This window comes from Homo sapiens, chromosome 19 (genome assembly GCF_000001405.40).
Source record: "Homo sapiens chromosome 19, GRCh38.p14 Primary Assembly".
In the NCBI taxonomy this organism is placed as follows: Eukaryota; Metazoa; Chordata; class Mammalia; order Primates; family Hominidae; genus Homo; species Homo sapiens.
Window position 1 is genome coordinate 48,530,278 of NC_000019.10, and position 27,965 is coordinate 48,558,242.

The 27,965-nt window shown below is 51.2% G+C and overlaps 1 protein-coding gene across 1 annotated transcript in view, besides 5 other annotated features; it reads left to right on the forward strand.

Moving 5' to 3' along the window:
• Positions 13,291-13,830: an enhancer, noted in NCBI's record as "H3K27ac-H3K4me1 hESC enhancer chr19:49046825-49047364 (GRCh37/hg19 assembly coordinates)". NCBI's record gives its function as "activates a minimal SCP1, AML or CMV promoter by ChIP-STARR-seq in naive H9 embryonic stem cells {active_cell/tissue: H9 hESC(naive)}" and the evidence as "EXISTENCE:reporter gene assay evidence [ECO:0000049][PMID:30033119]".
• Positions 15,217-16,160: an enhancer, noted in NCBI's record as "H3K27ac-H3K4me1 hESC enhancer chr19:49048751-49049694 (GRCh37/hg19 assembly coordinates)". NCBI's record gives its function as "activates a minimal SCP1, AML or CMV promoter by ChIP-STARR-seq in naive and primed H9 embryonic stem cells {active_cell/tissue: H9 hESC(naive and primed)}" and the evidence as "EXISTENCE:reporter gene assay evidence [ECO:0000049][PMID:30033119]".
• Positions 21,315-21,839: an enhancer, noted in NCBI's record as "H3K27ac-H3K4me1 hESC enhancer chr19:49054849-49055373 (GRCh37/hg19 assembly coordinates)". NCBI's record gives its function as "activates a minimal SCP1, AML or CMV promoter by ChIP-STARR-seq in naive H9 embryonic stem cells {active_cell/tissue: H9 hESC(naive)}" and the evidence as "EXISTENCE:reporter gene assay evidence [ECO:0000049][PMID:30033119]".
• The window catches only part of SULT2B1 (sulfotransferase family 2B member 1), a 47,256-nt gene continuing 41,185 nt past the window's right edge, over positions 21,895-27,965 (forward strand). Inside the window, exon 1 of the mRNA NM_177973.2 lies at positions 21,895-22,046. Within this exon, the coding sequence (NP_814444.1) occupies positions 21,976-22,046 (71 nt within the window). The 5' untranslated portion in view covers positions 21,895-21,975. The remainder of the gene's footprint in view (positions 22,047-27,965) is intronic.
• Positions 23,628-24,566: an enhancer, noted in NCBI's record as "H3K27ac-H3K4me1 hESC enhancer chr19:49057162-49058100 (GRCh37/hg19 assembly coordinates)". NCBI's record gives its function as "activates a minimal SCP1, AML or CMV promoter by ChIP-STARR-seq in primed H9 embryonic stem cells {active_cell/tissue: H9 hESC(primed)}" and the evidence as "EXISTENCE:reporter gene assay evidence [ECO:0000049][PMID:30033119]".
• Positions 23,755-24,049: a silencer, noted in NCBI's record as "tiled region #788; HepG2 Repressive non-DNase unmatched - State 4:PromP". NCBI's record gives its function as "represses a minimal TATA promoter and a strong SV40 promoter by Sharpr-MPRA in HepG2 cells {active_cell/tissue: HepG2}" and the evidence as "EXISTENCE:reporter gene assay evidence [ECO:0000049][PMID:27701403]".

Below are 27,965 nucleotides of genomic sequence, written 5' to 3' on the forward strand. Positions count from 1 at the left end.
GACCACGTTGCTCTGTTCCCGGTGACGTAGCTGCCTTAACGCGTCCAGTGGGTCGTCCCAATTCCCCTCTGGCTTTGCACTTGTGTGTTTGCACATCTGCTGTTAATTTAAATGAGACAAAAATCCTCACTCTCTTTAAATGCAGAGAATACAGAGTTGTGGGTTTTATTTTACCTTTTTTTACAAAGAGAAAAGAGCGTGATGCATACTAAGGATCCTCTGTTGGCTCCACAAAGGCGTCTTCTAAGTATGCCTTTGGAATTCAGAGCCGGCAGTTAAATTCTGATGACCAAATCTGAGAAGTAAGAGTCGTGGTTTTCTTGGGGATGGAGGGAATGGGAATGAGGGCTCCCGGGATAAGGGATGGGGATGGGCTTTTGGGAGGCTGGGAATGTTCTTTTTTTTTTTTTTAACCTGGTTGCAGCATAACTGATGTGTTCATTTGGAATTAATTCATCAAGCTGTACACTTTTGAAACGTGTTGTCTCTTTTTTTTTTTTTTTTTTTGTGACAGAGTCTCACTCTGTCACTCCGGCTGGAGTGCAGTGGCACAATCTCAGCTCACTGCAGCCTCCGCCTCCCGGTTCAAGCAATTCTCCTGCCTCAGCTGCCCAAGTAGCTGGGATTACAGGTGCCGTGTTATCTTATGTTTGTACAGTATAACCCAATAAAAACTATAAAAAATGTTATTGACAGGGAAACAAATAATCAAATAAGATAACAAATCAGAGTCAAAGACTGTTTAGAAACAGGATTGTCCAGTGGTTAAGAGCCTGGGCTGTTTATATTTGAATCCCAGTGTGCCACCAAGGCTGTGTAGCTTTGGGTAAGTTACTCAACTTCTCGGACCTTAAAGTTGTATATCTGTGAAATGAAGACAACACCTACGTCTACCTCAATGAGAAGCAGGAAATATGATTAAGAATTGAGTTTAGGACTGGGCCTGGTGGTTCACACTTGTAATCTCAGCACTTGGGAAGCCGGGGAGGGCGGATCACGAGGTCAGGAGATCGAGACCATCCTGGCTAACACAGTGAAACCCCATCTCTACTAAAAATACAAAAAATTAGCCGGGCGTGGTGGCAGTCACCTGTAGTCCCAGCTACTTGGGACGCTGAGGCAGGAGAATGGCGTGAACCCGGGAGGCAGAGCTTGCAGTGAGCCGAGATTACGCTACTGCATTCCAGCCTGGGTGACAGAGCAAGAATCCGTCTCAAAAAAAAAAAAAAAAAGAAAGAAAGAATTGAGTTTAAGACTGGGTGTGGTGGTTCACACTTGTAATCTCAGCACTTTGAGAGGCCGAGGCAGGAGGATCACTTGAGTCCCAGAGTTTGAGACCAGCCTGGGCAACATAATGAGACTCCCATCACTATAAATTTTTTTTTTAATTAGCTGGGCGTGGTGGCATACACCTGTGGTCCCAGCTATTTGAGAGGCTGAGGCAGGAAGATAGCTTGAGCCCAGGAGGTCGAGGCTGCAGTGAGCTATGATTGTGCCACTGTACTCCAGCCTGGGCCTGGAGTGAGATCCTGTCTCTAAAAAACACCAAAACAAAACACCACAACACCAAAACACCAAAACAAAACACCAAAACACCAAAAAAAACCACCAAAACAAAACAACAGGGTTTACTCAAGCACAAAGTTTGAGATAGCCAGACTCTGAAAGAATGTGGTGATTCTTAAGTGGGGAAGAAAAGGTTTCACTTATGTAGGCAGAAACAGAGAAGTTTAACAGCATTTAACATGTTCCATACAAAGCCAGTACACAACGTTCTGTGATATGATCGGTGGCAGTTTGCTAGATTTTAACGAAGATTTATTTTTTGGTTTTTTTGTTGGTTTGTTTTTGAGTCTCACTCTGTCGCCCAGGCTGGAGTGCAGGGGCGTGATCTCGGCTCACTGCAGCCTCTGCCTCCTGGGTTCAAGCGATTCTCCTGCCTCAGCTTCCCAAATAGCTGGGAGCACAGGCACATGCCACCACGCCTGGCTAAATTTTATATTTTTAGTAGAGACGGGGTTTCACTGTGTTGGCCAGGCTGGTCTCAAACTCCTGCCCTCCGGTGATCCGCCTGCCTTGGCCTCCCAAAGTGCTGGGATTACAGGCGTGAGCCACCGCGCCGGACTAAGGAAGATTATTTTAACATTCCAGGAAGAGGGATAGTGATCTGAGGGGGTCTCATCTCTGACGCCATTCCATTACTTCTCATCATTTCCAGGAAGAAGCAGAAGTTGCAGTTGCTGGCTGCATGACTCAAGCCACTTAGATTTCTCTTGAGGCTCAAAATAATGTAATGTTCCAATAGCTTTAAGTTTGAATGATTTAATTTCACACCTACCGGGCAGAATTACCTGAGATAAATAGAACAAAGCATCTAGCCAGGTAGTTGTCACAGAGCAGATGTTCAATCAATGACATTCATATCGTTTTGGTGGTAGATGTGATACATGGGTAAAGAAATAGAAAATGGGCCGGGAGTGGCGGCTCACGCCTGTAATCCCAGCACTTTGGGAGGCTGAGGTGGGCAGATCACTTGAGGTTAGGAGTTCAAGACCAGCCTGGCCAAAATGGTGAAACCTGTCTCTAGTAAAAATACAAAAATTAGTCAGTTGTGGCGGCGTGTGCCTGTAATCCCAGCTACTCAGGAGGCTGAGGCAGGAAAATCACTTGAACCTGGGAAGCAGAGGTTGCAGTGAGACAAGATCATGCCACTGCACTCCAGCCTGGGTGACAGAGCGAGACTCCAGCTCAAAAAAAAAAAAAAAAAAGAAAAGAAAGAAAGAAAGAAATAGAAAATGCAGAACTGTCATGCCAATAAAAAATGGACAAGGACGTGAACAGACAAGTCACAAGGCAGAATGACAGTAGATTACAAACTGGTGGGAAGGTATTTATCCTCAGTACTCACTGTTTTTAAATTTCTTTGTGTGTGTGTGTGTGTGTGTGTGAGAGAGAGAGAGTCTCACTCTCTTGCCCAGGCTGTAGTACAACAGCTCAATCTCAACTCACTGCAACCTCCATCTTCCAGGCTCAAATGATCCTCCCACTTCAGCCTCCCGGAAAGCTGGGGGACTACAGGCGACCGCCACCACGCCCGGCTAATTTTTTTTTTCTTTTTTTTTTTTTTTGAGACGGAGTCTTGCTCTGTCGCCCAGGCTGGAGTGTAGTGGCGCGATCTCGACTCACTGCAAGCTCTGCCTCCCGGGTTCATGACATTCTCCTGCCTCAGCCTCCCGAGGTAGCTGGGACTACAGGCGCCCGCCACCACGCCCGGCTAATTTTTTGTATTTTTAGTAGAGACAGGGTTTCACCATGTTAGCCAGGATGGTCTCCATCTCCTGACCTGATGATCTGCCCGCCTGGACCTCCCAAAATGCTGGGACTACAGGTGTGAGCCACCACACCACGCCCGGCTAATTTTTTGTATTTTTAGTAGAGACAGGGTTTCGCCATGTTGCCCAGGCTGGTCTTGAACTCCTGGACTCAAGCGATCCGCCCACTTTGGCCTCCCAAAGTACTAGGATAAAAAATTTATTATTATTGTTATTTTTCATTTTTTATAGAGGTGGGGTCTGGATATGTTGCCTCAGGCTGGTCTTAAACTCCCGGGCTCAAGTGAGCCTTCTGCCTCTGCCTCCCAGTGTGTCGAGGTCACAGGCGTGAGTCACTGCACCGGCCAGTAGTAACTGTCTTCAGAGCGTGTATTGTTCTCTGAAGTAATCAAGTCCACTTATTTGTCTGTATGTTTACCGTCCATCTCCCCTCTTCTCATCCCTTAGAAAATGAGGTCCCTGCCAGGCACAGTGGCTCAGGCCTGTAATCCCAGCACTATGGGAGGCCGAGGTGGGCAGACCACGAGGTCAAGAGTTCGAGACTAGCCTGGCCAACATGGTGAAACCCCGTCTCTATTAAAAATACAAAAATTAGCCTGGGCTGGGCGCAGTGGCTCACACCTGTAATCCCAGCACTTTGGGAGGCTGAGGCAGGCGGATCACCTGAGGTTGGGAGTTGGAGACCAGCCTGACCAACGTGGAGAAACACCATCTCTACTAAAAAATACAAAATTAGCCGGGTATGCTGGCACATGCCTGTAATCCCTGATACTCGGGAGGCTGAGGCAGGAGAATCACTTGAACCCGGGAGGCGGAGGTTGTGGTGAGCCGAGATCATGCCATTGCACTCCAGCCTGGGCAACAAGAGTGAAACTCTGTCTCAAAAAGAAAAGAAAATGAGGTCCTCGAGGGCAGTGCTTCTGTGTCAGTCTTGCTCACTGCTGTCTCCCAGTACCTAAAACACAGGCTACCATACAGCAGGTGCTCAAGAAACTATTTGTGGACTCAATGAGTGAATACATAAATGAAAATGAGAGCCAACTCTTCACTTACCAAATTAGCAAAGCTCTCTAAAAGGCTTATATTCAGTGCCAGCGAGGATGCCGTGAGTGTGAATGAGTGGAGATTATTTTAACTTTTCTAGATGCCAACTTGGTACTCTTACCGAGTAATTCCATTTCTGGGACTCTGTTCTAAGGAAATAATATAAAATGTGCACAAAAGTTTATGCACGAAGATTTTCTCTATAGCATTATTTGTAGCAGTAAAAATAATAGAAACAGGTTTAATATTTGTATAATAAACATTATATATTTCTAACAATAAGGTCTAGAGAAAGGCTTTGTAAACTACAGAACAGCAATATTGTGAAATATCATGTAATTATTTTAATTAAAATGAAAAAAAGGTTTTATGATACATTAAGTAGAAATACGCAGGGCCGGACATGGTGGCTTATATCTGTAATCCCAGCACTTTGGGAGGCCAAGGTGGGTGGATCACCTGAGGTCAAGAGTTTGAGACCAGCATGGCCAACATGGTGAAACCCTGTCTCTACTAAAAATACATAAATTAGCCGGGTGTGGTGGTGCGCACCTATAATCACAGCTACTAGTGGGGCTGAGGCAGGAGAATCACTTGAACCCCGGAGGCAGAGGTTGCAGTGAGCCGAGATTGTGCCACTGCACTCCAGCCTGGGCGACAGAGTGACACTCCATCTCAAAAAAAAAAAAATGTGTAATACAGCAAGATATAAAATGATATACGGTCATCCATTGGAATCCATAGGGGATTTGGTTCCAGAACCCCACCTACCCTACAGATACCAAAACCTGAGGATGCTCAAGTCGCTGATATAAAACGGCATAGTGTTTGCATAGAACCTGCGTGTATTTCCCCTGTTTATTTATTTATTTATTTATTTATTTTTTGAGACAGAGTCTCTGTCACCCCAAGCTGGAGTGCAATGGCGCGATCTCGGCTCACTGCAACCTCCGCCTTCTGGGTTCAAGAGATTCTCCTGCCTCAGCCTCCTGAATAGTTGGGATTACAGGCATGTGCCACCATGCCTGGCTAATTTTATTTCATTTTATAATAAAATTTTATTAATTTAATTTAATTTTATTTTATTTATTTATTTTGAGACGGAGTTTCGCTCTTGTTGCCCAGGCTGGAGTGCAATGGCACAGGCTCCGCTCACTGCAACTTCCACCTCCTGGGTTCAAGCAATTCTCCTAGCTCAGCCTTCCAAGTATCTGGAATTACAGGCACACGCCACCACGTCCGGCTATTTTTTTTTTTTTTTGAGATGGCGTCTCACTCTGTCATCCAGGCTAGAGTACAGTGGCGCAATCTTGGCTCACTGCAACCTCTGCCTCCCGGGTTCAAGCGATTCTCCTGTCTCAGCCTCTGGAGTAGCTGGGACTACAGGCGCATGCCACCATGCCTGGCTAACTTTTTTGTATTTTTAGTAGGGACGGGATTTCACGGTGTTAGCCAGGATGATCTTGATCTCCTGACCTTGTGATCTACTTGCCTCGGCCTCCCAAAGTGCTGGGATTACAGGTGTGAGCCACCATGCCTGGCCTAATTTTTGTATTTTTAGTAGAGACAGGGTTCCACCATGTTGGCCAGGCTGGTCTTGAACTCGTGACCTCAAGTGATTCACCCACCTTGGCCTCCCAAAGTGCTGAGATTACAGGCGTGAGCCACCGTGCCCAGCCTCCTCCCGTGTATTTTAAATCATCTCCACATTACTTGGAATGCCTAACACAGTGCAAATACTAAGTAAATAGTTGTTATACTGTATTGCATAGGGAATAATGACAAGAAAAAAAGTCTATACACATTCAGTACAGACACAATTTTTTTCCTGAATATTTTTGATTCACTGTTGGTTGAATCCACGGATGCAGAAACCCACGGAACTGGTACGCAGTAGCACCTCCTCTCTCTCACACTATATATAGAGAGAGGGGATTTTATTTATATATGTCAACGTAGTGTAAATGTAAGTTTTCATATATACATGTGAAATTGGTAGGACAACAACAGGATGCTAACCACACAATTTTACAAAGATAAAACCTGGAAATACTGGAAGTAGATGTATCGGAATGCTATCACTGGTGGGAGAAATGTGACTCCTTGCTGGGGGACATACTGTTATCTGTGGGATGTATCTCCTCGCAGAGTTTTTTTTCTGTATATTTTTCCCACATATTTATTTATGTATTTTTTTAAATTTTTATTTATTTATTTATTTTTGGGTGGGGAGACAGAGTGTCGCTCAGGCTGGAGTGCAATGGCATGATCTTAGCTCACTGCAATCTCTGCCTCCGGGTTCAAGTGATTTTCATGCCTCAGCCCCCACCAGTAGCTGGGACCACAGTCACCGGCCACCACGCCCTACTAACTTATGTATTTTTAGTAGAGACGGGGTTTTGCCGTGTTGTTCAGGCTGGTTGGTCTCAAACTCCTGACCTCAAGTGATCCGCCCACCTTAGCCTCCAAGTAGCTGGGACTACAGATGTATGCCACTATGCCTGGCTAATTTTTTTATTTTGTAGCGATGAGGTCTCACTATGTTGTCCAGGCTGGTCTCCCACTCCTGGCCTCAGGTGATCCTCCCACCTTGACATCCCAAAGTGCTGTGATTACAGGCCTGAGCCACCGTGCATGGTCCTATTTATTCATCTATTTTGTAGAGACAGGGTCTTGTTCTGTTGCCCAGGCTGGAATACAGTGGTGTGATCATGGCTCACTGCAACCTTGACCTCCTGGGCTTAAGCCATCCTCCCACCTCAGCCTCCAAGTAGCTGGGACTACAGATGCATGCCACCATGCCTGGCTAATTTTTTTATTTTGAGGTCTCACTATGTTGTCCAGGCTGGTCTCCCACTTCTGGCCTCAAGCGATCCTCCCACCTTGGCCTCCCAAAGTGCCAGGATTTCAGGTGGGAACCACCGCACCCGGTCTCGGTTTGATCACTTTAATTGGCTGCATTGCATTGCAAGAATGACTGTATCTTGGTTTATTTAATTTTTCCCTTATGCACGGCATCTGGGTTGTTTCCAGCTTCTTTCCCATGACAAACATAAACAACACTGCAGTAAACATCACTGAGTTCACGTGATTTGGAGATGTGGAAATTCAGGAACGAAGGGGGCCCTTATCTAAATGTCAACCGACCTGTCCCATGGCCTCCAGAGAGACTGCATGTCCCTCCTCCTCCATTGTTTTGCAATTCTCAGCTTTTCTATTTTGAGCTTGTGTTATTTTTCTTATTTATTTATTTTTATTTTAATTGAAGTTCTGGGATACATGTGCAGAACACGCAGGTTTGTTACATAGGTATACATGTTTCATGGTGGTTTGCTCTATCTATCAACCCATCATGTAGGTTTTAAGCCCTGCATGCATTAGGTATTTGTCCTAATGCTCTCCCTCCCCTTGCCCCCCACCCCCCACCGACAGGCCCCGGTGTGTGATGTTCCCCTCCCTGTGTCTATGTGTTCTCATTGTTCGACTCGCACTTATGAGTGAGAACATGCGTTGTTTGGTTTTCTGTTTCTGTGTTAGTTTGCTGAGAATGATGGCTACCAGCTTCATCCATTTCCCTTCAAAGGACATGAACTCATTCTTTTTTATGACTGCATAGTATTCCACAATGTATATGTGCCATATTTTCTTTATCCAGTCTATCATTGTTGGGCATTTGGGTTGGTTCCAAGTCTTTGCCATTGTAATGTTTATTTATTTATTCTTTAAGATAAGAGTTTTGCTCTGTCGCCCAGGCCTGAGTGCAGTGGTGCATTCTCGGCTCACTGCAACCTCCACCTCCCGGGTTCAAGCAATTCTCCTGCCTCAGGCTCCCAAGTAGCTGGGATTACAGGTGACCACCACCACACCTGGCTAATTTTTGTACTTTTGGTGGAGATGGGGTTTCACCTTGTTGGCCAGGCTGGTCTCGAACTTCTGACCTCAGGTGATCCTCCCACCTTGGCCTCCCAAAGTGCTGGGATTACAGGCGTGAGCCACCTCGCCTGCCCTAAATGAGGCTTTATTAAGTTTGGGCTCAACATGTATGATGTGAATTCTTCCCAGTTTGTTGAGAGAGCTGTGGGTCTATGGTGCTGAGGGGAGTAGACAAAGCCCCTCCTCCTGACACCCCAAACCAATGGGGGAGACAGACAGAGCTTCCGACTTCCTTAGCTTGGGGACTGGCTTTTAAAAACCGCACAGGGCTGGGTGCGGTGGTTCATGCCTGTAATCCCAGCACTTTGGGAGGCCAAGGTGGGCAGATCGCGAGGTCAGGAGTTCAAGACCAGCCTAGCCAATATGGTGAAATCCCATCTCTACTAAAAAATACAAAAAGTACAAAAAATAGCCACGTTTGGTGGCCTATGCCTGTAGTCCCAGCTACTCAGGAGGCTGAGGCAGGAGAATCACTTGAACCTGGGAAGCAGAGGTTGCAGTGAGCCGAGATCACGCCACTACACTCCAGCCTGGGCGACAGAGTGAGGCTCCATCTCAAAAAAAATAAAAATAAAAATAAATAAAATAAAATAAAATAAATGAAAGTAAAAATTGCCCAGGAGCCAGGTGTGGTGGCTCACGTCTGTAATCTCAGCACTTTGGGAGGCCGAGGCGGGCGGATCATGAGGTCAAGAGTTAGAGACCAGCCTGGCCAACATGGTGAAACTCCGTCCCTACTAAAAATACAAAAATTAGCTGGGCGTGGTGGTGGGTGCCTGTAATCCCAGTTACTCAGTAGGCTAAGGAAGGAGAATTGCTTGAACCCGGGAGGCGGAGGTTGCAGTGAGCTGAGATTGTGCCATTGCATTCCAGCCTGGGTGACAGGGCAAGACTTTGTCTCAAAAAAAAAAAAAAAAAAAAAAACAAAACTGCCCAGGAAATTCTTACGCGCAGTCCTACGTGGGGACTAGCGGCCCAGAGCTACTGCTTATTAAGCATTTATTATGAGCCAGGAAAGGTGCAAAATGTTTTATCCTTGAGTCTAGTTCATGCCTCCAGCAGAAGCCCAGGCCCCTGGGTTCTAGCATGGTCTTCTGCCAGCTTCGACTTGGACAAGTGACGTCAGTGCCCTGTATGTTGGTTTTCTCATTGGAAAGATGGAGATAATAATAGTGCCTACTCATAGGATCATCATGAGGCTGAAACGCGTAGCTGTGCAGATCTCTTGGCACTGTGCCAGGCACTGAGTATGTTCTACACAAGTGTTTGACAAATATAATAAAACTGATGGCTGGGCACCTGTAATCCCAGCACTTTAGGAGGCCGAGGCAGGTGGATCACTTGAGGTCAGGAGTTCAGGACCAGCCTGGGCAACATGGTGAAACCCCCTCCCTACTAAAAATACAAAAATTAGCGGGGCATGATGGCGGGCACCTGTAATCCCAGCTACTCGAGAGGCTGAGACACGAGAATCGCTTGAACCCGGGAGGCAGAGGTTGCCGCGAGCCAAGATCGCACCACTGCACTCCAGCCTGGATGAAAGAGCGAGACTCCATCCCAAACAATTAACAAAAATAACTGACTGTGTATCTTGGAGTGACAGAGCTGTCCCTGCTTGTGTAATGTGCCTATCCATGCATTGGCGAGGCGTGTCGATCCTGCAGCTGGGAGAGAGTTTGCATGGGAGGAGGCAGCGTGAGAGATCAGTCCCCAGGCACAGAGGAAAACCGAGCTGGGACTCAGCTCTCACGGTCCTGCCATTCAGCCAGCTGAGAGGCACAGTCCCACATCCAGACCCTTACTTGTGCTGTCTCCTCTGTCCAGAACACTCTTTCCTTTCCTCACCTCCTTCAAAGGCTTGTTCCAATGTCATCATCTTGGTTTAAAGTGGAGATTCAGCTTAACCCCTTCCCCACCTGTGCCTACTGTCTCTCGATTGGCCTTATTCTTCTCCATGGCCCTCAATGTACACGTTTACCTGGAAAGTGCTCCCTGCAAGGCAGCTGCATACCATTATTAAGACTCTGTGACAGGCCGGGCGTGGTGGCTCATGCTTGTAATCCAGCACTTTGGGAGGCCGAGGCGGGCGGATCACTTGAGGCCAGGAGTTCCAGACCAGTCTGACCAACATGGTGAAACCCCGTCTCCACTAAAAATACAAAACTTAGCCTGGTGTGGTGGTGAGTGCCTGTTATCCCAGGTACTCGGGATGCTGAGGCAGGAGAATCGCTTGAACCCGGGAGGCGGAGGTTGCAGTGAGCCGAGATGGAAACACTCCACTCCAGCCTAGGTGACAGAGCGAGACTCCGTCTCAAAAAAAAAAAAAAAGAAAAAAGAAAAAAAAAAGACTCTGTGACTACATATATACACACACACACACACACGCATATATATATATATATATGCGTGTGTGTGTGTGTGTGTATATATAGGTGTGTGTATATATATATATATATATATATATAATTATACACACACACACACACACACACACACACACACAGAGATGAGGTCTCACTATGTTGTCCAGGCTGGTCTTGAATTCCTGAGCTCAACCGATTCTTCCACCTCACTCCCCCAAAGTGCTGGGATTACAGGCGTTAGCCACCACACCTGGGCTACTAATATGTATGTATGTATATATATATATATATATATTTTTTTTTTTTTTTTTTTGGATACAGAGTGTTGCTCTGTCACCCAGGCTTGAGTGCAGTGGCGCGATCTCGGCTCACTGCAAGCTCCTCTTCCCAGGTTCACGCCATTTTCCTGCCTCAGCCTCCCAAGTAGCTGGGATTACAGGTGCCCGCCACCATATCCAGCTAATTTTTTTTATTTTTAGTAGAGATAGGGTTTCACCGTGTTAGCCAGGATGGTCTCGATCTCCTGATCTCGTGATCTGCCCGCCTCAGGCTCCCAAAGTGCTGGGATTACAGGCGTGAGCCACCGTGCCCAGCTGATTTTTTTTTTTTTTTTGAGATGGAGTTTCGCTCTTGTTGCCCAGGCTGGAGTGCAATGGCGCGATCTCGGCTCACTGCAACCTCTGCCTCCCGAGTTCAAGCAATTCTCCTGCCTCAGCCTCCTGAGTAGCTGGGATTACAGGCACCTGTCACCACGCCCAGCTAATTTTTTGTATTTTTAGTAGAGGCAGGGTTTCACTATGTTGGCCAGGCTAGTCTCAAACTCCTAACCTCAGGCGATCCACGTGCCTCGGCCTCCCAAAGTGCTGGGATTACAGGCGTGACCCACCGTGCCCGGTCAATATTTTTGAAGGTCATTTTCTAACTGACACTAGGTGTGTGGGCCACCAGCTCCTCCCCCATGTTCTCTGCTCTGGCCGCACTGGCCTCCTTTACATTCGTCTATCACACCAGGCACCTTTCCACCACAGGGCCTTTGCACTGGCTATTCTCAATGACTGCAATACTCTTGCCCCAGATATGCACCCAGCTTGCTGCCTCACCTCCATCAGGCCACCTCCTCTGAGAGGCCCACCTTGACTGCCCACCTAAAGCATCTCTTAGTTTAGCCAGGCATGGTGTTGAGCGCCTGAAGTCCCAGCTATTCAGAAGGCTGAGGCAGGAGGATTGCTTGAGCCCAGGAGTTTGATACCAGCATGGGTAACATAGCCAGACCCCATCTCTACAAAAATAAAACATAAAAAATTAAGGCTGGGCGCAATGGCTCACGCCTGTAATCCCATCACTTTGGAAGGCCGAGGCGGGCGGATCACCTAAGGTTGGGAGTTCGAGACTAGCCTGGACAACATGGAGAAACCCTGTCTCTAGTAAAAAAATCCAAAATTAAGCCAGGCACGGTGGCTCACGCCTGTAATCCCAGCACTTTGGGAGGCTGAGGCAGGTGGATCACCTGAGGGCGGGAGTTGGAGACCAGCCTGACCAACACGGAGAAACCCCGTCTCTGCTAAAAATAGAAAGTTAGCTGGGCATGGTGGTGCATGCCTGTAACCCCAGCTACTCGGGAAGCTGAGCAGGAGAATCGCTTGAACCCGGGAAGTGGAGGTTGCAGTGAGCTGAGATGGCGCCATTGCACTCCAGCCTGGGCAACAAGAGTGAAACTCAGTCTCAATAATAATAACGGTAATAAAATAAAAAATTAGCTGGGTGTGGTGGTGCATGCCTGCCTGTAATCCCAGCTACTCGGGAGGCTGAGGCAGGAAAATCGCTTGAACCCAGGAGGCAGAGGTTGCAGTGAACCGAGATCGCGCCATTGCACTCCAGCCTGTGCAACGAGAGCAAAACTCCATCTCAAATAATAATAATAATAATAATAATAATAATAATAATAATAAAATAAAATAAAATAAAAAACTGGCTGGGCATGGGAGCACGTGCCTGTAATTCCAGCTATTCAGGAGGCTGAGGCAAGAGATTCACTTGAACCCAGGAGGCAGAGGTTGCAGTGAGCCAAGATGACACCACTGCACTCCAGCCTGGGCGACAGAGCGAGACTCTGTCTCAAAGAAAAAAAAAAAAAAACCTCACTCCATTACATCTACAGTCTCTTTTGTGGTGGGAGGTCACATGTTCGCACTTTCTAGGATTAGGACCCGAACATCTCTTGGGGGGGCAATGTTCTTCCCACCATGAGTCCGTTCTCACTTTTTTTTTTTTTTTTTTTGCCACTCTGTCTCCAGCGCCTGGAACGGTGCCTGGCATGCAACAGGTGCTGGGGAATGAATGAACGTGAATGGATGGGGCCCAGCGGCAGGAAGGGCTGGAAGCATGTGTCATGGAGCATGTTTTCAGGGACTGAGGGCCAAGGAGGAAGCCAGGCCCCTGGAGGAAGTGGGGGCAGTGCCCTGGCCCGAGGCAGGAGGAGGAGGAGCCGAACAGGGATGAGCAAGATGAGGGTGGGAGGTGGAAAGATGAAGCAGCGATTGGGGCGTCCTGTTCTCCTGTAATCCGGCCTCCTGCCCACCCATGCACCACCCTCGGGCTGGGCGCAGGCCTCCCTGAAGCCACTGCAGGGAAGGGGGGTATCGGAGGGTGGTGGTGCACGGTGATTCCCAACTGGCACAGCTGGTTTGACTGGTCCTGGCGTTTGGCAGAGGAGAGCGCCGGGGACAGGTGAGGATGGTGCTGGGAGCACCCCAGGCCCAAAAGACACAGGGGAGGAGTGGCTACCGTGCTCACCGGTGTACCCCTATAGACCCCAGACCCCCCAACACAACACTCCCACCGCACACCCCTCACTTGGCTCAGTCTGTCCCAGCCCAGGAAACCAGAAACCCAACCTCCCTGACCCCCAGTCCCAGCCCTTCCTCCCTCAGACCCAGGAGTCCAGCCCCTCCTCTCTCAGACCCAGGAGTCCAGGCCCCCAGACCCTCCTCCCTCAGACCCAGAGGTCCAGGCCCCCAGCCTCCTCCCTCAGATCCAGGAGTCCAGGCCCCCAGCCCCTCCTCCCTCAGATCCAGGAGTCCAGGCCCCCAGCCTCCTCCCTCAGACCCAGGAGTCCAGACCCCCAGCGCCTCCTCCCTCAGACCCAGGAGTCCAGACCTCCAGCCCCTCCTCCCTCAGACCCAGGAGTCCAGGCCCCCAGCCCCTCCTCCCTCAGATCCAGGAGTCCAGGCCCCCAGCCTCCTCCCTCAGACCCAGGAGTCCAGACCCCCAGCGCCTCCTCCCTCAGACCCAGGAGTCCAGACCCCCAGCCCCTCCTCTCTCAGACCCAGGAGTCCAGACCCCCAGCGCCTCCTCCCTCAGACCCAGAATTCCAGGCCCCCAGCCCCTCCTCCCTCAGACCCGGGAATCCAGGCCCCCAGCCCCTCCTCCCTCAGACCCGGGAGTCCAGGCCCCCAGCCCCTCCTCCCTCAGACCCAGGAGTCCAGACCCCCAGCGCCTCCTCCCTCAGACCCAGGAGTCCAGACCCCCAGCCCCTCCTCTCTCAGACCCAGGAGTCCAGACCCCCAGCGCCTCCTCCCTCAGACCCAGAAGTCCAGGCCCCCAGCCCCTCCTCCCTCAGACCCGGGAGTCCAGACCCCCAGCGCCTCCTCCCTCAGACCCGGGAGTCCAGACCCCCAGCGCCTCCTCCCTCAGACCCAGGAGTCCAGACCCCCAGCGCCTCCTCCCTCAGACCCAGGAGTCCAGACCCCCAGCCCCTCCTCCCTCAGACCCAGGAGTCCAGCCTCCAGCTCTGGTTCCCTGACACATTGTCACTACAGCCGTGGCCTGTTGGGCCCCCTGCTCTGTGTGCACCTGCCTCTCTCCCCACCCTGTTCCCCTTTTGTGACCATGCAGCCAGTAAGGACCCAGGTTCTGGCCTTCAGTCCCCCCACCCCACTCCCCCAGCATCCCTCCCCAGTCTCTGTCACCTTGGGGACCCAGGAGCCGGCACTCTCAGTGGCCCCCTCCCAAGAGAGGAGCCTAGGCGTGGTGTGGGGCCCACCCCAAGTGGCCTCCAGCCCAGCCCCAGCCCAGCTCAGGGCAGGCGGGGCATGAGTGTGAGTGTGAGTGTGCGGGGTGGGGCGGGCGGTGGTATCGGCCCTGGGGGCCTGTGCCGGCACATCGTGGGGATGGAGTAATCAGGGTGGGGTGGGGAGCAGACAAGGAGGTTTCGCTGCACCCCAAGATGGACCCAGTGATTAGAGGGGACGGCTGGGGGGAACCAGCGTGGCTTTGAGGTGTCAGCCGCCATCTCTCACCCCACCCATCTGAGGTTGCCTGAGCCTCAAGGGGGCATTGCGTGGGCTTGGGGACAGGGGTGTCCTCTACCACCCGTAACCTCCCCCCAACCCCCTTCCCCAGGTCCACATGTCTAAGTGTCCCATTTTTGTCTGTCTGGGTCACTGGGGTCTGGCCCAGGCCCCTCCTCCATCAAACCCAGGAGCCTGGTCCCCCAGCTCTGGACCGTGCCCCCTTCCCACCCCATTCGGGTTCCTCCTTGGATCCTTCCTGACTTGGGATTTGGACGCCCCGCCCCCAGCCCCTGCCCCCTCGGGAACCCAGCCTCTAAGCAGCCAGGGCTGGCTGTCCTCGGGCTCCCAGAACTCCCGGCAATGACTGGCTTTTAATGGAAAGGTCGGGCTCTGGAGGTGACAATGGCCTCGATTCTGTGGAAACGTGACCTCATGACCCAGTGACCTCCCTTTGCCTATGTCTGAGCTCCAAGAGCAAAATGGCACATCCCAGGGCTTGGGGGGCAGGTGGGCCCCCCCAAGAGAGGCCAAGGAATTGCTCCACGATGGGAGTCCCCTGCTGTCCACCCTCAGCCCATTGGCAAGGCCACTTCCAATGCCCCCTTCGCAATCAGCCCAAGGTGTAGAACAGGAGACAGCCTCCTTGTGGTCGGTGGCACACAGGTGACGTGTCCATCGTGCTTTGGGTTTATGGGAGTGGAGGGCATGTCCTGAGTGGCCCAGCCCATCCCCACCTGCCACCCTTAAGCCCCCAGGGATGGGTGTGAGTGTCCCTGGACGCCCTCACTGTCAACCCCTACCCAGGAACCCAGGACTACCTCCCTATCCCCAGTGCTATTCTTTGTTTTGGGGGCTTTTGTTTTGTTTTGTTTGTTTTGTTTTTTGAGATGAAGTTTCCCTCTTGTTGCCCAGGCTGGGGTGCAATGGCACGATCTCGGCTCACCGCAACTGCCGCTTCCCGGGTTCAAGCGATTCTCCTGCCTCAGCCTCCCGAGTAGCTGGATTACAGGCATGCGCCACCACACCGGGCTAATTTTGTATTTTCAGTAGAGACAGGGTTTCTCTGTGTTAGTCAGGATGATCTCAAACTCCCGACCTCAGGTGATCTGCCCACCTTGGCTGCCCAAAGTGCTGGGATTACAGGCATGAGCCACCGCGTCTGGCCTGTTTTGTTTTCGTCACCCAGGCTGGAGCACGGTGGTGCAATCATAGCTCACTGCAGCCTCAACCTCCTGGGCTCAAGTGGTCCTTCCACCTCAGCCTCCCGAGTAGCTGAGACCACAGGTGCACCGACACCATGCTCAGATAATTTTTAAATTTTTTGTAGAGATGAGGCCTTGTAGCCCAGGCTGATATCAAACTCCTGAGCTTCAGCGATCCTCCTGCCTCAGCCTCCCAAAGTGCTGGGATTACAGAGGTGAGGCACTGAGCCTGGCCCCCAGAGGCCCCCTCTTTGGCCTGGAGGAAACACCTCCCAATGTCTTTCCAGCCTCTAGGCCTTTGTCTCTGCCAGGCTTTCTAACAAGACGCCTTTTCCACCACTCAAGTCCCACTTACCCATCTGGTGAGTTCCTCTGTCCTTGGTTTTGCCTACTGGGGCATCCTTTTCCTGGGAAGTCATTCCTGGCCTCCCAAGAAGGTCCTGGCCTCTACAGCCAGGGTATCAAGCACATGGAACTTAGCCCAAGCCAGCAGTCAATACAAATAGCCTCCAAGCACACACCACAAGTTGCCACATTTTTTAAAAAAAGCAAAAAGAAATAGGTGGCCAGGCACGGTGGCTCACGCCTGTAATCCCAGCACTTTGGGAGGCTGAGGTGAGCAGATCATTTGAGGTCAGGAGTTCAAGATCAGCCTGACCAACGTGGTGAAACCCCATCTTTACTAAAAATACAAAATAATTAGCTGGGCATGGTGGTGCGCCCCTGCAACCCCAGTTACTCAGGAGGCTGAGGCAGAAGAATCACTTGAACCTGGAAGGCAGAGGTTGCAGTAAGCCGAGATGCACAGATCGTGACAGAGTGAGACTCTGTCTCAAAAACAAAAAAGAAACAGGTAAAATTAATTGTAGTTTTCTCCAGCTTTAAGACTGGAAGGGCCAGGTGTGGTGGCTCACCTGTAATCCCAGCACTTTGAGAGGCTGAGGCAGGAGGATCATGAGGTCAGGAGTTCGAGACCAGCCTGGCCAACATGGTGAAACTTCATCTCTACTAAAAATACGAAAAAAAAAAAAAATTAGCCGGGCATGGTGGTGGGCGCCTGTAATCCCAGCTACTCAGGAAGCTGAGGCAGGAGAATTGCTTGAACCTGGGAGGTGGAGGTTGCAGTGAGCCAAGATTATGCCACTACACTCCAGCCTGGGTGACAGAGCAAGACTCCGTCTCAAAAAAAAAAAAGACTAGAAGGAAAAAAGAAAAGAAAATAATTAATTGTAGGAATAGATTTTATTCAATTTGATGTATCTAAAATATCACCACTTCAGCATGTAATCAATATAGAAATTACCCATGAGATGTTTTATATGCTTTGTATCTCAATTTTGATGCTCAATTTCGAAAAGGTACATTAAAATGGAATTAATTAAATGAAAATTTAATTTCATTTAAATTAATTAAAATGAAATAATTTTTTATTTTTTAAAAATTTTTAAAATGAAATAAAATTAATTCATTTTAATTAATTTAAATTAATTTTAATTTTTTTAAATTAAATTTATTTAAATTAATTAAAATGAAATAAAATGGAAAATTTTCACTTTCTCAGTCACATTGCACATAGGTGCTAAATAGCCACCTATGGCCAGTGGCTTCTGGGATGGACAGCACAGATGTAAGCCATTTACTTACATGTCTTGTTTGTGGACACAATATCAGAGACTGACCCAGAGGAGGTCTCTACAGATATTAGTTGGAAAAATAGACTATTGGATGCCTGGATGAATGGATGAGTGGATGCATGGATGGATGGATGGATGGATGGATGGATGGACGGATGGTCGAATGGATGGGTAGATGGTTGGATGGATGGATGAATGGATGGAGGATGCATAGAAAGATGGATGCATAGATGGCTGGTTGAATGGATACCTGGCTGAGTGGATGAATAGAGGATGGATGGATGGATAGAAGGATGGTTGAGTAGATGCTTGGATGGATGAATGGATAGACAGTGATGAATGGATGGCAGGATGGATGGATGAATGGATAGATGAAGGAATGGTTGGGTGATGGATGAATAAATGGCTGAATGAATGCAGGATGGATGGATAGATGGATGGTTGGATGGTTGGGTGGCTAGATGAATGGATGGAAAATGGATGGATGGGTGATGGATGGCTGGATAGATGGATGGTTGAGTAGATGGTTGGATGGATGAATGGATGGATAGATGATGAATGGATGAAGAGGTGGATGGTTTGATGGCTGATGAATGGATGGAGGGATGGATGGTTGGATGGGTAGATAGATGGATGTTGAATGGATGATTGGATAAGTGGTTGGGTGGCTGAATGAATGGTTGGGTGGATGGTCGGGTGGATGGATGATGGATGAATAGAGGGACAGGTGGATGCATAGATAGAGGGATGAACAGCTGGAGGGATGAATGGATGTATAATCCTTGCTCCTCTCACTACCCATGACCAAGTGGCTCTGGGTTTTCCACTTGCATTTTCCCACACTCTTCATCTTTTTTTTTTTTTTTTTTTAATTGAGACCGAGTCTTGCTCTGTTGCCCAGGCTGGAGCACAGTGGCACAATCTCGGCTCACTGCAATCTCCACCTCCTGGGTTCAAGCAATTCTCTGCCTCAGCCTCCTGAGGAGCTGGGATTATAGGCACCCACCACCACTCCCGGCTAATTTTTGTATTTTTAGTAGAGACGGGGTTTTACTATGTTGGCCAGGCTGGTCTTGAACTCCCGACCTCGTGATCCACCCGCCTGGGCCTCCCAAAGTGCTGGGATTACAGGCATGAGCCACCAAGCCCAGCCCACTCCTTCATCCTTCTGGTCTCGTCCTTGTCTCCCAGATGTCCAAGACCCTCAGATTCATTTCTGGGGGTTGATGGTCTCCACTAGTATCTCTGCACTCTCACAATTGGCTAAAATGTCACTCTGGTGTCTTCTGGTTCCTCCTTGCCACCTCTGTAGGAGTCTGGACCCCTCGCCTTCCAGAATCAGGCTTTTGCATCTCCTCAGCTCCCTCCTCATTCTCCACAGAGATTCAGTGGACTTCTCCTGGCACCACCATGACCTTCACTCATTCCATCACGTCTTCCTGTGACAATTCATTCATTCCATCAACAGGCACTTATTGAGCATTTACTATATTCCAGGCTCTTCCCTTGGGAAATAACCGCAGATTTGACATAGAACAAGCCCTTCTTTCATGGGGTTGACAGTCTAGTGGGGAGATAGATGGTAAACAAGACAAAGAAGCAAAACATTTAGGAGGTCAGATGGTGACGAGTGCTATGGGAAAAAGTAAAACAGGAAAGAGGAATGGAGAAGTTGGTGGACGAGCCTGGGGGAGGTGACACTGGGCAGAGTCAGACGATAGGAGCCCACGAAGCTCCCAGGTATCAGGAACATGCGGGAATAGCAAGGGCAAAGGCCCTGCAGTAGGAGCCTCCCCTGGGTCTTAGGCCGCCTAGTTTGGCCAGTTTCTTTCCATTGCCCACTCAGGCACAACCTCAGGCCCTACTGCTCCCCAACCTTCCTGTGCCCCGGGGATGCCTCCGCACCTGCCTGCGAGTTTCCCTCTCAGGATCCCTAAGGACCTGGGCATTCCCTTCCCCAGACTCTCCCTAACCCCCCACCCCAGCAGCACACAGAGCCAGGGACAAAGGGTCATTGAATAGAAAACAAAGGTGAAGACAGCCCAGCCGGAGGCCTGGTGGGGTGTCATGGTTCAGTCCCCCACCTCCGACATCAGAGGGGTTCACTCAGCCTCAGAGGGGGATGCCTGGCCCTCTCACCCTTCCACCCACCCTGCAAGAGAGCCTTTTTATCAGCAGGAACATCAAGGCTTAACACTGAAAGTATCAAGGCAGAATGTTGAGGATGTGGACTCGGTAGTGGCTGGGGGCAGGGGCGGGTGCTCCCACAGCTCAGCCTCCTGGAGACGGGTCTTGGGGTGGTGAATTGAGAGATGGGATACCCCAGAACCCTCCTTTTCTGCTTACCATCAGAGTGAAGGCGGGCAGTGCTGTGTGCCCTGGGGGAAGCCACATTACCTCTCTGGGCCCCCTTCCTGCATCTGTTAGGTGAGTCTGACGTCTTCCATCCCCCTCACCTATGCAACAATAATTGGTCAGTATATACAATTTTATTTGTTTTGGCTTTTTTTTTTTTTCTTTTTGAGATGGAGTTTCACTCTTGTTGCCCAGGCTGGAGTGCAACAGTACAATCTTGGCTCGCTGCAACCTCTGCCTCCAGGGTTCAAGTGATTCTCCTGCCTCAGCCTCCCGAATAGCTGGGATTACAGGCACCTGCCACCATGCCCAGCTAATTTTTTGTATTTTTAGTAGAGATGGGGTTTCACTATGTTGGCCAGGCTGGTCTTGAACTCCTGACCTCAGGCGATTCACCCGCCTCGGCCTCCCAAAGTGCTGGAATTACAGGCGTGAGCCATTGCACAGGCTTTCTTTTGGCATTTTTTTTTTTTTTTTGAGATGGAGTCTCTCTCTGTCGCCCAGGCTGCAGTGCAGTGATGTGATCTCAGCTCACTCCAACCTCCACCTCCCAGGTTCAAGCGATTCTCGTGTCTCAGCCTCCCAAGTAGCTGGGATTACAGGCACCTGCCACCACTGGTGGGGAGACTGGCTTCATGACTCCAGGACTCTGAGGGGTCAGGGACCAACAGCTGGGGAGGGCCAGGGTTTGGGGTGGGGGCAGAAGAGAAGAGAACACCGTCTATGCTGAGCTCACTGTGTACCAGATCCTCCACCAGCAGCTGAGAGTGTCTCCCTCAGTCCTCACAACAGCCCGATGGGTGCCATTCACAGATGGGGAAACTAAGGCAAGATGAGCCTATGAGCAAGATGGTTCCCGGCCCCACAGCTGGGAGGCACTGGAGCTGGGATTTGAACCAGGGCTGTGACCTTCAGACTCTCACGCCCAACCATATCTGGCAGTTGTCTCTCATATCTGTGTCTCTCCCTGTCCCTGACCTTTCTATGTATCTCTGTCTCTGCCCTCTGTATATCGCTGCTGGGTCTCTCAGGGTCTCTGACCCCTGTGTGTCTCTGTCTCCTCTGGGTGTCCGTGTGTCTCTGTCTCCGCCCTCCGTGTATCTCTGTTGCGTCTCTCAAGGTCTCTGGCCCCTGTGCATCTCAGTCCCCTCCTGGTCTCTGTCTCCCATGCCCTCTGCCCTCTCCCTTTCTCCCTGGCTCCCGCCCTGTCTGTGCTGCCGTGGTCCTGGCTGTGCCTCTGTCCCTGTGTCTGTTTCCAGGGTGCCCCTTACGCGTCAGCCCGTGAGGGCAAGTTTCTGTCTGCCCCTTCCCCAGCGGTGGCCTAGTGCTTGGAACAGCGCCTGGCAGACAGGAGATGCTCAGTAAATATTTCTCAAATGAATAAAGGAATGAATGAGTGAATGAATGAATGAATGAATGAACTCGCTGAGATGGGCGAGATCAGCGCCATTTCCCAAATGAGCAACGTGGGCTCCAGGTGGGTGCCCACAGGCCCAGAACTGCCAGCCCGGAAGGTTCTGGCGTGGGCTTGGCACTGACCCCCTGGACTCTGCCCCCAGCTGAGCACCAGACGCCAGGACGTGCCCATCACTGCTCCTCCCCGCCCTCAGAGCAGGGTGGCTCCCTCTGGCCTCTCCCCGCTGTTGGAGGCGTGGGTAGCAGCTGGGAGAACCGGCTGGGTGCTGCCCCTCCCCTTGGGCCGGGCACGGAGTAGGCACCTGGCGGGCTCCCCAGGTGGCAGACGCTGTCGCTGCGCACACCTGGCCTCTGTGCCGCCTGCTCCCTGCTCGTCCTCCCCTCCCCACCCTCACCCACCTGCCATGGACGGGCCCGCCGAGCCCCAGATCCCGGGCTTGTGGGACACCTATGAAGATGACATCTCGGAAATCAGGTGAGGCCCAGACCTGGGCAGGAGCCAGGAGATCCCAGGGAGGAGGTGGCTGTTTGGGGGAGCCGGGGACTGTGGCAAGGGTGGCCTCCAGCCACCCGCAGCCGCAGGCCTGGCCCAGACTTAGCTGGAGGGGCTGGGCTGGGCTGGGGCATCCAGTGTGGTGTATAGGTCCCTCCTGAGAAGGGAGTGAGGACCCGACCGTGTTGAGTCACCAGTGGGGATGCCTGGGGTGTCCCTGTCGCTCTCCGGGCCTCAGTTTTTCTGTCTGTCAAAGGGGCCCACAAGCCCTGTGTCTCCCTGATAGAGCAGTGGAAGAGAGCAGGCAGCTTGGTGCATAGTAGTTGCTCAGGAAACACAACAGCCTGTAGTACCCAGGACACCCCATGCAAGCCCTGAAATAACGGGGGTGCTTGGGGGTGAAATGGGAGAGACTGGGATGCTGCTGAGACCCCCAGAGGGAGAAGCTGTGTTCTAGGGCACTTGGGGCGGAGAGGGCAGGCTCTGGACTCTTCAGGTCTCCTAACAGTGGTTAGGGCAGAGCACTGCCCACTTCCATGAGCTCAGCGTGACTCCCTCTTCCTGGGGATGAGTCAGACACTTTGACAGTACCTGCTTTCCAGATGGGGAAACTGAGGCTGGGAGGGAACGCGACATGACCGCAATTACGCAGCTAGAAGCAAATCTGAACCCGGTCTGTCTCACGCCAGAGCCTGTGGTTTCTCCTGCTCCTCACAGCCTTGGTGATGTCCCCTTTACACCCCTCCCCGTGGCTCCATCTTTTAGGGGAGCGCAGAGGCCCAGAGAGGGCAGGCAGCCTGCCCCAGATCACACAGCAAACTGCTGAGACAATCTCCAACCCCTCGTATCTTGCACTCTTGCCAAGTGAGACCTTCCTGGCAGCCTGGGCCCCTCCAGCCACCGTGGGCTGTGAGGAGGGAGACAACCAAGACCTGTTCTCAGCCCAGTTGCCTCATTCCTTTCTTATTTTATTTTATTTTTTTGAAATGGAGTTTCGCTCTTGTTGCCCAGGCTGGAGTGCAATGGCACGATATCAGCTCACTGCAGCCTCCGCGTCCTGGGTTCAAGTGATTCTCCAGCCTCAGCTTCCCAAGTAACTGGGATTACAGGAGCCCGCCACCATGCCCGGCTAATTTTATTTTTGTATTTTTAGTAGAGAAAGGGTTTCACCATGTCGGCCAGGCTGTTCTTGAACTCCTTGCCTCAGGTGATCCACCTGCCTCGGCCTCCCAAAGTGCTGGGATTACAGGCGTGGGCCACCACGCCTGGCCGCCTCATTTCATTCCACTGTTTCAGGCCCTCCCCTCCCCTCCCTCAGCCAGAAGCTGGGGCATGAAGAGGCCTTCCTGGGTGCCTGGGACTCCAGAGACAGGAGCAGTTCAATCCTGATTGCTGTGTGACCTAGACAAGCTTCCTGATGTCTCTGGGCCTCCTGGGCTGAGAGCTGTGACCAGGCTGGCCCAGTTCTGCGTGAGGGAGGCCCCAGCATTCTTTACTCAACATTGTCTAATCCAGGACTTCTGAGTTCTGCAATTCTTCTCTCCAGAGATAAACAGATAAGCCAGCTCGCCTCCAGGGTTCCCGCCTCTGGGAAGGCCTCACCCCCACCCCAGCCAGGCACCTGGGAGCCTTTTTTTTATCTCCGCGACGGCTCTGCCAGCTGGTCATAAAACGCCCTGAGTGACCTCGCTAAGTGGGTGACCTTGGTTTAGTCACTGACCCTCTGCGAAGCTCGGTTTCGTCATCGTGGGGGAGAATAGCCCTCCCCTGCAAGACTCCTCCAGCCCTGATGGCTGCAGAGCCCTGGGGGGGTGCCCTTAGGACCTCAAACTTCCAGGCACTTCTGGAATCCCCCAGGCCTGGAAGCGTGCCTCTCCCCAGCGAGCCTGCTGGAGCATCCCCCTGGGGCCCACTTCCTTCGGGATGTGCCCCTCCCAGACCCCCTCAGATACGCCACGTACCCCCCCAGATTCGCACCTCCTCCCAGGTTGCCCATCTCAGGGATGTCCCCTCCCCATCACTGGCTCAGATCCACAGGGCTTCTCCTGGCCCCGACTTCCCCCTCTGCTCGCCCCCAGCCTGTCAGTCCCCAACCCCCACCCCTGTCCCCTGACTCTCTGCCCTGGTTCTTCCTCTCGGTTGCCACAGCCCCAGCTCAGGCCTCCTCATCTCCCCCCAACCTCACCACTCCAGCCTTGGCTGTCCCAGGCTGCTCCTCCCCTCCTCCCAGCCATCCAGTGAATTCCTCAGCGCCCAGCCCTCACCCACCCCGCCCCCCCAGCCTCCTCACCTGCATTCCAGCTACTCTACTGCTTTTTTTTTTTTTTTTTTTTTTTTTTTGAGACTGAATCTGGCTCTGTCACCCAGGCTGGAGCACAGTGGAACGATCTCGGCTCACTGCAACCTCCGCCTCCCAGGTTCAGGTGTATTACCTCATCTAATCCTCACAGCCATCTGAGATGAACCCACTTTGACTGCTGTCATCCTGTGTCAGAGATGAGGCCCAGAGAGGTTGAGTAACTTGCCTAGGGTCACACAGCTGCCAAGCAGGGCACGGCCAGGATTTGAACCAGGGAAGCCTGACTGTTATCATGCCCTGGACAGGGAATTTAGGGATGATGAGCAAGACCAGGAAGGAGCGAGATCCAGGAGGTAGACTCAGCCCAGATGGGAGGTGAAGCGGGCGCTCTGAGGTTCTAGCCTCCGAGTAGCTGGGATGACAGGCGCGTGCCACTGCGCCCAGTTAATATTATTACTATTATTTTTTTGAGACGGAGTCTCACTCTGTCGCCCACGCTGGAGTGCAGTGGCACGATCTCGGCTCACTACAACCTCGGCCTCCCAGGTTCAAGCGATTCTCCTGCCTCAGCCTCCCAAGTAGCTGGGATTACAGGCACCCGCCACCATGCCTGGCTAATTTTTATATTTTTAGTTGAGACAGGATTTCACCATGTTGGCCAGGCTGTTCTCGAACTCCTGACCTCAGGTGATCCACCCGCCTTGGTCTCCCAAAGTGCAGGGCTTACAGGCGTGAGCCACCGTGCCCGGCCTATCTACTCTATTACTTTGAATTCCCTGGCCACGCTTGTTCCCTGCCACAGTGCCTTTGCTTATCTGGCTCCTTCCATAGGGATCCCAGAGACATCTTCTCTCTCTCTCTCTCTCTCTTTGCTTATCTGGCTCCTTGCATAGGGATCCCAGAGACATCCTCTCTCTCTCTCTCTCTCTCTCTCTCTCTCTCTCTCTCTTTTGAGACAGAGCCTTGCTCTGTGGCTCACACTGGAGTGCAGTGGCACAATCTCGGCTCACTGCAATCTCTGCCTTCTGGATTCAAGTGATTCTCTTGCCTCAGCCTCCAGAGTAGCTGGGATTACAGGCATGCGCCACCACACCCAGCTAATTTTTGTTTTTTTTTGGAGATGGAGTCTTGCTCTGTCACCCAGGCTGGAGTGCAGTGATGCGAACTTGGCTCATTGCAACCTCCGCCTCCCAGGTTCAAGCGATTCTTCTGCCTCAGCCTCCTGAGTAGCTGGGATTACAGGCACACTCTACCATGCCCGGCTAATTTTTTGTATTTTAGTAGAAACGGGGTTTCACCATGTTGGCCAGGCTGGTCTTGAACTCCTGACCTCAGGTGATGTGCCCACCTCGGCCTCCCAAAGTGCTGGGATTACAGGTGTGAGCCACCGCGCCCGGCCTAATTTTTGTATCTTTAGTAGAGAAAGGGTTTCGCCACTTTCGGGACTTTGCGTGCACCAGCGCAGTGTCCTTTGCCTGGGCTGACCTCTGCCCTCTCTCCTTCCTTTGCCAAACTTCTCAGGCGTTAAGATTCAACACGGGCAATTTAGGATTTTTGGCCAGGGGAATGAGAGAATGCAGGCAGACACCCACGCCAGGTCCCAGGTCCCTGATCACGCTGGTCTAGCTTCAAATCTGCCCCGTGGCACCAAAATATTGGCCTGTTCGTGGATAGGAAATGAATGTAGGAAATCTGTGAAAAGGACGTCAAGAATGAATGAATGAATGGAGGCTCCATTAAGCAACCTCTGAGCCGGAGCTTCCAGGATGAGTCAGGGTTAGCAGACGGGGAGGAGGGGCAGGGAGTGCTGGGAAAGGGAATGGTTGGGGCACAGGGACACAGGTGGCTTCAGGAGAGTAAGGGGCAGCTGGGTCAGGAGAGGGCCAGCTGCCGTGGAAACTCCCCGTGGTGGGCCATCCTGCAGCAGACCTGAGTGGCTCTCAAATGGTTCGTTTTTTAAGCACCTCCAGGGAGAGAAACTATTGTTTTCAGAATACACGCATATGTGATTTAAAAAAAAAAAAAAAGTTGCCAGCTCAGTGGCTCACACCTGTAATCCCAGCAGTTTGGGAGGCCGAGGCAGGTGGATCCCTTGAGGTCAGGAGTTCAAGACCAGCCTGGCCAACATGGTGACACCCCATCTGTACTAAAAATAAAAAAATTAGCCAGAGTTGTGCCACACACCTGTAATCTCAGCTACTCAGGAGGTTAAGGCAGGAGAATCGCTTGAACCCAGGAGGCGGAAGTTGCAGTGACCTGAGATCCTGCCACTGTACTCCAGCCTGGGCAACAGAACAAGACTCTGTCTCAAAAAAAAAAAAGTTGTCCTAGGCCAGGCATGGTGGCTCCTGTCCATTGCAGTACTTTGGGAGGCCAAGGCAGGAGTATCATTTGAGGCCAGGAGTTCAAGACCAGACTGGACAACACAGCAAGACCCCGTCTCTAAAAAAATAAAATAAAAACCAAACAAGGAATTGACCAGAATTTAATTCAGGATAGCAGCTCAAGGGACGGGTAGATGCCACAGGAAGGGGCCCAGAGATATCAGCAAGATGCATCGCTCAGAATGTTCTAGTTTATGGGGTTCATTATGAATTATGAGAAATTTAATATGTGAGATCGGGCTCTGTGGCTCATGCCTGTAATCCCAGCACTTTGGGAGGCTGAAGTGGGCGGATCACTTGAGGTCAGGAGTTCAAGACCAGCCTGGCCAACATGGTAAAACCCCGTCTCTACTAAAAACACAAAAATTTGCCAGGCGTGGTGGCACTTGCCTGTAGTCCCAGCTACTGGAGAGGCTGAGGCAGGAGAGTTGCTTGAACCCAGGAGGCGGAGGTTGCAGTGAGCTGAGATCGCATACTGCACACCAGCTTGGGTGACAAGATTGAAACTCCATCTCAAAAAAAGAAAAAAGAAATTTAATATGTGTTCCATGTGGTCTTGTATGTAAAAAGGACTTAAAAGGATAATAAGGGCTAAATTAAAATCGTAAGAGGCCGGGCACGGTGGCTCACGCCTGTAATCCCAGAACTTTGGGAGGCCGAGGTGGGCGGATCACCTGAGGTCGATAGTTGGAGACCAGGCTGACCAACATGGAGAAACCCCGTCTCTACTAAAAATAGAAAAAAGTCAGCCGGGCATGGTGGTGCATGCCTGTAATCCCAGCTACTCGGGAGGTTGAGGCAGGAGAATCGCTTGAACCCAGGAGGCGGAGGTTGCGGTGAGTCGAGATCGTGTCATTACACTCCAGCCTGGGCAACAAGAGTGAAACTCTGTCTCAAAAAATAATTAAAATTAAAAAAATTAAAAAAAATAAAATCGTAAGAGGAAAACATTTGGCACAGGCGGTAGGCAGGATGGGCTGCTGACCCAGTAGGCTGACAAGCCCAGGATGTTATAATCCCTGTAACATCCTTGCAGTTGTTCTCAACCTGTTGAGTGCTGTCTGTATTACCTCATCTAATCCTTACAGCCGTCGGAGATTAACCCATTTTAACTACTATCATCCCCTGTAAGAGGTGAGGCCCAGAGAGGTTGAGTGACTTGCCCAGGGTCACACAGCTGCCAAGCAGGGCGTAGCCAGGATTTGAACCAGGGAAGCC